Source organism: Homo sapiens, chromosome 9 (assembly GCF_000001405.40).
Source record: "Homo sapiens chromosome 9, GRCh38.p14 Primary Assembly".
NCBI classification, from domain to species: Eukaryota; Metazoa; Chordata; class Mammalia; order Primates; family Hominidae; genus Homo; species Homo sapiens.
In genome coordinates, this window is record NC_000009.12 from 30072405 (window position 1) to 30080635 (window position 8231).

General features: G+C 41.2%; 1 annotated feature.

Annotated features, from left to right (window-relative positions):
* Positions 2652–3851: an enhancer, noted in NCBI's record as "P300/CBP strongly-dependent group 1 enhancer chr9:30075054-30076253 (GRCh37/hg19 assembly coordinates)". NCBI's record gives its function as "activates an origin of replication core promoter dependent on BRD2, BRD4, P300/CBP, MED14 and CDK7 cofactors, with strong dependence on P300/CBP, by STARR-seq in HCT116 cells {active_cell/tissue: HCT116}" and the evidence as "EXISTENCE:reporter gene assay evidence [ECO:0000049][PMID:35650434]".

Here is an 8231-nt window from a genome sequence, read left to right on the forward strand (position 1 = left end):
CCATAGTTAACTGTACTGTATTCTACACTTAAAGATTTATTAGCAGGGCAGATCTAATTTAAATGTTCTTACCACAATAAGTAAAATTTTAAAAGAAAATAAAGCTAAAAGGTAAAATAAGGAAATATATCAAAGTAGGTTACTTTATTATGAAATATGATTTTGTGAGCTATAAACAAAGAATAACAATGTTGCAAAACATAAAGTAAAAACAACAATAAAAGAATAAGTTAATAAAGAAAAAAACCCACAATTACAAAGAAAATCCACAAGGATTAAAATATGGAAAAGAGACACAGGAGCCAACTGAAAGACTCTCAATGGACAAAACTGAAATAATTTTGGCAATAAAATATAGTATTATTAAATTATAAGTCAAGGTATAAAATGTTTGTAATATCATATGGACATTAATAGTTGAATAAATATATAAATGAGGGAAAGTAGAAAAATTCTCTTTGCAGAAGAATTTCAAATATTTTATGTAGCTAAGCATCACTCTCAAATGTTTGGCATAATTCTCCACTCCTTAAATGTGAGCTGTACATAGCCACATTTATTCCACCTTATTCCAGAGTACAGTATGGAAGATGCAAAAAGTAACTTCAAAGCGGAGAAACTTGGAAAACACTGCCTCAACCAAGTGATTTAAGTTACATCAACAGAATGTATTATGAATATGACGTGTTAGAAGTGGAACTTTACTTCTCTGTCCTTCCTCCCGCCCAGAATATAACCCTTGCCTAATCATCAGAAAAGTATCAAACAGAACCTGACTGAGGGACATTCTATAACACATCTCACCAGTACTCCCCAAAATTTTCAACATCATTAAAAACAAGGCGTCTGAGAAAATATCACATTCAAGATGAAACTAAGGAGATAAGATTACTTAAATGTGATTGTCTTACTGTTTCACATTAAGACTAAATCTAGATTGTAGTTAGAGCTTCCAGAAACTCCTTTTGCTTTACAGGTAAAATGACTTGAAACCACCTCGCCAGGCAAATAATTATTTGCTTAGATAGAAATTCCAAATTAAGCATCTCCACACCTTTGATGCGGTTTTAACTCATACATGTAACAAGCAGGTCATTAGTAAGCAGGTCATTATTCCTGAAGTCACTACAGATAGAAGTCTATAGACTTCTATAGAATTCACCAAGGTAAAGAGGCCATTCTGAAAAAAAAATAAAGGATTAAATCATACATGTAGTGCATGGTTAACTGTAAGCACACACATGATATTACTAAAAGTCAATTTATCATTGTAATTCTTTAACGTGTTATGTCCCAGAGGATGTGTGCCAGGAGAACCAGGCGAAGTATCTTCAGAATACGTTTTAAATATTCTAGAGATGCTTTGCTGACCTATTTAAAACTCTTAAGTGCTTTGTTGTGACAAAGTTAATAGCTGAATCCATTTCACACGTATATTTTAGAACAGACTAACTGATGGTCTGACTACTGTCTGTTAATATTGCTGCCTGCTTACAAACAGCTTCTGGGGAATCCTAAGAATCTTAAAAATAGAAAATGGCATATTTCTATAGAAACTACAAAATGATATTGCCAGAGTTTTGACTTTTGTCCACAGGTAGAAAAATATATACATTGTTGACATGACATAGCAAATAAACACTTCACAGATGACTGAGTGGTTCCATGCTAACTGCTAGGTTATCACAAAACACAATTACTCATCTACTACTGTATTAGGGTTCTCTAAAGGGACAGAACTAACAGGATAGATGTATATACATAAAGGGGAGTTTATTAAGGAGTATTGACTCACATGATCACAAAGTGAGATCCCAGAATAGGCCATTTGCAAGCTGAGGAGCAAGGAAGCCAGTCTGAGTCCCAAAACTTGAAAAGTAGGGAAGCCGATAGTGCAGCCTGCAGTCTATGGTCGAAGGTCCAAGAGTCCCAAAGCTGAAAACTTGGAGTCTGATGTTCAAGGGCGGAAGCATCCAGCACAGGAGGAAGATGTAGGCCCGGAGACTAAGCCAGAGTAGTCTTTTCACGTTCTTCTGCCTGCTTTTAGTCTGGCTGCACTGGCAGCTGATTTAGATTGTGCCCAAACAGATTAAGGCTGGGTCTGCCTTTCCCAGTTCACTGACTCAGCTGTTAAGCTCCTTTGGCAACAACCTCAAAGACACAGCCAGGAACAATAATTTGCATCCTTCAATCTAACTGAGTTGACACTCAATATGAACCATCACAATGACCAAATGTCAATGTGCTATTAAAAGTATATTTTCTCTTAGGTAGGTAACATGTCGGAGATACTGTTCTAGCCACAGTTTCAAGGGCCATGTTTATATTCTGAGAACAGGGAGAGAGACAGAGAGAGATAATGCGTTTTAGAAGAAAGTTGGGATTTCGTAAAAGATAAAGACACTAGAAATCAATTACTTCTTTCTCTTATTTGCAAAAACAAAATTTAGGTGAATATCAGAATATTAGACTTAACTGGGTATCAAAAACACACCATGTTATCTCTATATCATAGTGTATGGTTAAAAAATTTTCAATGAAAGTTTTATCAAAATAATTTTTGATGGTCAAAACAGTTATTTATGTATAAATACATAGTTTTATTTTTTCCTTAATGCAATTTTTGTTTATAAAAAGTACAACATTCATCAGTAGACAACTTGCTGAGACAAGAAGTCTTTTCCTGATGGAAGGTCTTTTCTCAATCGAAGGGTTCGTGGTCCCACGGGCTTCAAGAAATGAAGCCGTGGACCACAGTGGCGAGTGTTACAGCTCGATTAGAGAAACGTGCGGACCCAAAGAGCGTGGGGCGGCATAATTAAAGCAAAAGTGAAAGCGAAAGTAAAGCTTCCGGGCGGTGGAAGGGGACCCGGAAGGGTTGCCATTTTTGGCTTGGGTATCTTATGCTTATATCTCCTTATGACCCCTCCCCTTTTCCTTTTTCTGTCCTATAGAATTAGCTTATTTTCTATCTGCTTGTGGGTTGGCGGGCCTGTTTGGTTAAAAACATCAGGCTGCAGCTAGAGCTTAAACTTCCTATATGATTGGTTGAAGTGTCCATCCCTTGGCTTGCAGCTGTGACTCATTTTGGCTTAGTGGAAAGTGCCCCTTGATTGGTTGAAGTTTCCATCCCTTGGCTTGCAGCTGTGACTCATTTTGGCTTAGCAGAAAGTGCCCCTTGATTGGTTGAAGTTTCAATACCTTACCTTGCAGCTGTGACTCATTTTGGCTTAGCGGAAAGTGCCCCTTGATTGGTTGAAGTTTCAATCCCTTACCTTGCAGTTGTGACTCATTTTGGCTTAGGTGAGAATCCTCTTTGATTAGTTGAAGTTTCAATCTCTTAGCTTGCAACTATGACTCATTTTGGCTTAGGGGAAAGTCCCCTTAGGGAAGTCCCTATTGACCCAGGAAATCCAGCCAACTTAGCCACTTAGTCCCTCATTCCCAAATAAAAACTATCAATTGGTGCATCCACTTGGAAGAAAATAAACAATATTTCTCAGTAGACGTTTGATACACATTGTAACAAGATTGTGTTACTTGTACAATTGCTCAATTGTGTTTATTACCAACACTGTTAAGTCTCTGAACTGTGAAATGTTTTCTCTTATTTCAGACAAATGTCCACAGGTTTTCTTAGTCTCATTGCTCCATTTTTCTATTACCTGTATATCAAAAGCAGTGTCTTAATTCATTTTTGTTCAGCTTATCACTTCAATTCTATGAGCTCGGCTGGTTTTTTATGTTAACTCTTTAAACAATGCTTTGTAAGGCTTCAAACAAGTTGGAAAAAACTGGCTATTACTTTTTAATTAATAAAGAAAATATAATTGCCCTTTTTGATTTAAACTACTTGTATAAGGATCCTCCAGAGGGACAGAACTAATAGGATACGTGTGTATATGAAAGACAGTTTATTAAGGAGAATTGGCTCACACTATTGAGGACTAAACTCTGATTTTTTTTAAATCTTGCACAAATTCCTATTTAAGGGGTCTGGGGAGTCATGTGCTACAAATCATAAATTCTCATCAGAAGGGTTTTATTTAACCCTGTATATCATGACTTATTTTCCAACCTGATTCTAGCATAACATTATGAGACAAGGAAGAAAATCAAAATATTTTACACCAAAACCTGTTTCGTAGCCATATTTTGAAATGACCCTGCACATCTGTTCTTTGTGGGGTATACTTTGCATCTGTAAAGAATCTCTATTAACATACCTAGATCTTTTTCTTCCAGACCCTCCCAATCCTAAAGAGATTAACTAAGATCTGAATAGGAAACATTTGTCATTTATTGTCTCTAAGGGCAGCCACTGTACGACTTCACAAGAACTTTGGACTCCACAATCTTTATCTTAACCTGAATATTCCCTTTCTATGAATCCCAGGTCTTTAGACAAATGCAACTAATTGTCAACCAGAAAATGTTTAAATTCACCTATAGCCTGGAAGCCCACCCACCCCATCCCCACCTCCCCACACCTCCCCGCACCCCCCTCCACCGCCCCCCTGCTTTGAGTTATACTGCCTTTCTGGACTAAACCAATGGTATTCCTTAAATGTATTTGATTGATGTCTCCTGCCTGTCTAAAATGGGTAAAACTAAGCTGTGCCCCGACCACCTTGGACATATGTTCTCAGGACCTCCTGAGGGTTGTGTCACCGGCCATGGTCACTCATATTTGGCTCACAATAAATCTCTTCAAATATGTTACAGAGTTGGACTCTTTTCGTCCACACTATCACAAGGTGAAGTCCCATGATAGGCTGTCTGCAAACTGAGGAAGAGAGAAGGCAGTAATGTCTCAGTCTGAGTTCAAAAGCCTCAAAAGTGGGGAAGCTGACAGTGCACCCTGCAGTCTGTAGCTGAAGGCCCAAGAGCTCCCGGCAAAACCACTGGCATAAGTCCCAGAGTCCAAAGGCTGAAGAACCTGGAGTTTGATGTCCAAGGTCAAGAGGAACAGATGGAACCATCCAGCAAGGGAGAAAGATAAAAGCCAGAATACTCACCAAGCCAGCTTATTTCACCATCTTCCGCCTGCTTTGTTCTAGCCACACTGGCAGCCAACTGGATGGTGCCCATCCACATTGAGGGTGGGTCTTTCTCTCCTAGTGTGCTAACTCAAATGCTAATCTCCTCTGGCAACACCCTCACAGAGACCCAAAAACAATACTTTAATCAGCTACCTAGGCATCTTTCAATCCAATCAAGTTGACACCTAATAATAACCATCACACTACTCTACTCAAGTATCTTTTTTTTTCCAAGACATTATTTTCCTCCACCTCTCTGTTGTTGTTGTTGTTGTTTTGAGACAGGGCCTCCCTCTGTCTCTCAGGCTGGAGTGCACTGGCATGATCATAGCTCACCATGGCCTCAATTTCCTTGGCTCAAGTGACCCTCCTGCCTCAACCTTCCCCAAATATCTGGGACTGCAAGTGCCTGCCACCATGCCTGCCCAGCTTATAGTAAAAAAAAAAAAAAAAAGAAAGAAAGAAAGAAAGAAAAAAGTAAAGATGGGGTCTCACTATGTTACCAGGGCTCCTCTTCTTATAGATGGGGACAATGAAGCCTATAAATGTCAGATGACATAGCCTGATCAGACCAGGCAGAGCGGAGCCAGGAAGAGTGCCTGATACACCAACTTCGAATTCAGTGCTCCTGCCTCTGTCTTCTCCCAGGGCCAAGGCTTTTTCAGGCTAATGGACATGGGGTGGTCGACATGGGAGAAGGACAGAGAGAAGCCTGGGGAGGATGCTGAGAAGTAATAAAAGGGAGGAGAGAACCTTTGCAAGAAAACTGTCCCTAGCTTAGAGAAGTAAAAACAGAGTGGGTTGGGCAGGTGTTGGATGTGATGGAGTGGAGGTGAGACCAGAAACCCAGGAAGAAGGAACCACAGCTCTGGTCAAACCAGCACTGAGAGAATGAGACAGGAAGAGCGTGGTGTTGCCACCACAGCAGGGCTTTGTGAAGCCAGTGAATTTCCTGCTTCACAAGAGTTCAGCAGAGTTTTGTCTTCCTGGACAGAGAGAGGTGCAGTAGGAGGTCACAGAGGGTGAGGAAGGTCAGAAGGCAAGTCCCAGGTCTGCCCTGAGCTAGCGCAGGACTGGAGTGGGGAGGCATTTCCCCCTTGAGCCACAACCTTACCTTTTGTGCAATGGGGAGATGATAAGAACCCTGTCCTGCCCACAACATCCAGCTGGTGATCTGGTCTATAAATGAAGATCCTGTGCCAACCACCTAGAGGCACTTACCATAGTTCCCATTTTACAGGTGAGGAAATTGGGCCTGGTAAGTTGTCACGCCTCAGATCATGCAACTGGCAAGGCCCAGGTGACTCAACCTCAGTTTTCAGTGACCACGTAGGCTGCCTCTCAATGTTGGTTCTTGGGAGGCTGCTTAATAGGGTCCCCTTCCAGGGAAGTAGCAATGCTGGGAGATAACCTCTGAGGCTTCATACAACTTTGAGAGCCCATGAATGTATTAAAATGAGGAGCAGGGAGACATGAAGGTTAAGTCCAAGTTCCTTGCCCAACCACCAAGACCCTTAGCACTTGGCCTCCCCAGCCTCCCCTCAACATGCTCCTGCTCTGGAGCTCTGGTGCCACACTTCAGGGCACTTCCAAGCTCTGTGACCTTGGGCAAGTGGGCCTCAGCTTCCTCTTCTGTACAATGAGAACAATAAAGTCCTCACTTTATAGGGCTACTGTGAGGATCAGAGAAAGTGCTTGGCAGATGGTGGCTGCTGTTGTCGCTAGGACTTCCAATTAATTACCGGGCTCAGGTTGCTGTCACTTGCCCTTACCTCCTCTGAGATGTCTTGCCCAGAGTCCCTATTTCTTGAAGCTGGGATCCTGGAGCCCTTGGGCTCACTCCCTCAGCCCTCAACACAGACTGTTGTTTTCTGCTTGTTTGTTTGCCTTCAAACACCCTGGGCACCAGTTGAACTCAGGAATGTCTAGCCCTGAGCCTAGCCGAGAGTGAGTGTTCTAGAAGCATGGCTAGATTCCGTCATCCAGCAATGTTTGAGAATCCATGCTCTGCTAGGCCTTGCCCATCATGGTGATGTCCACGCTCAGAGTCCTGCTACCCTCAGGCTTGGACTTGAGTGAAGGAGATAGGGTGGCACACAGTGATAATGGCATGTGGTAAGTGCCACTGTGGGGGCTGTGGGGCCGAGAGGAGGACCAGACCCTACCATGCCCAGTGGAGGAGTGGTGGTCCCTTACTTCTGTAGTGCCTGCAGCATCCCAGCAGCTAGCAATGTGCCATTCTCCATTTGCCTGCCCCTTCCCATCATGATAAAAGATGGTTGCAACAGTAAATGAAACCCCTATTACCAGAAACTTGCAAGCCAGGCCCTGCTCTGGGAACTTTAGTGCATTTACTCTGCCCCTCAGAGGAGCCAATGTGGGAAAAGAGGTCTTGAGGGGCTGGTCATTGCTGGCACACTCAACCATCTTGTGGTTGTGTAGGATTTGAACTCGGGCCTGCTGGAACTCACCTTCAGCTCACTCTGCCCCATGCCATTGAGCTTCAAAACTCTCTGTCCACACCTCCTCCTGTGCAGCTGATTGTCCCAATGTGCTCAAGTATCTTAGTCTAAATCAAGATATTCAATAGGAGGAAAATTCATATACTTCATTTCAAACACCTACTTTTGAAATGAGTAAAGTGTTACTGAGTTAAAAAAAACTGTAAAATGTTTACAAAATATTTTGTAATACACTATATATGCACACATATTCATATTATATAGATATACAGATATATGTGTGTATACACAATGCAATGCAATGGAATATAATATAATGGTAAGAGGTAATATATTTTTAAAATATTTTATTCTTACTCTCTTACTCAACATACTATTTTCTGCTCTGCATTATTATTCTTCTCTTGTAATTTTATACATTTTTCTTTTCTCTTTAGTTTACCTTTGCTACCCTCTCACATTTTTTTCTTTGCTTTATTATTTTTTGAATTTTCTGAACTTAAACGTTACCTCAACTTTAAATTTTCCAGTGTTTCAAGAAATAGGCTGGGCTTGGTGGTTCATGCCTGTAATCCCAACATTTTGGGAGGCTGAGGTAGGAGGACTGCTTAAAGCCAGGAATTTGAGACAAGCCTGGGCAACAAAGCAAGTGAGACCCTATTTCTACAAAAATTTGAAAGAAAAAATTAAAAAAATACTAGGAGAGTGGTGCACATACTTGTAGTCC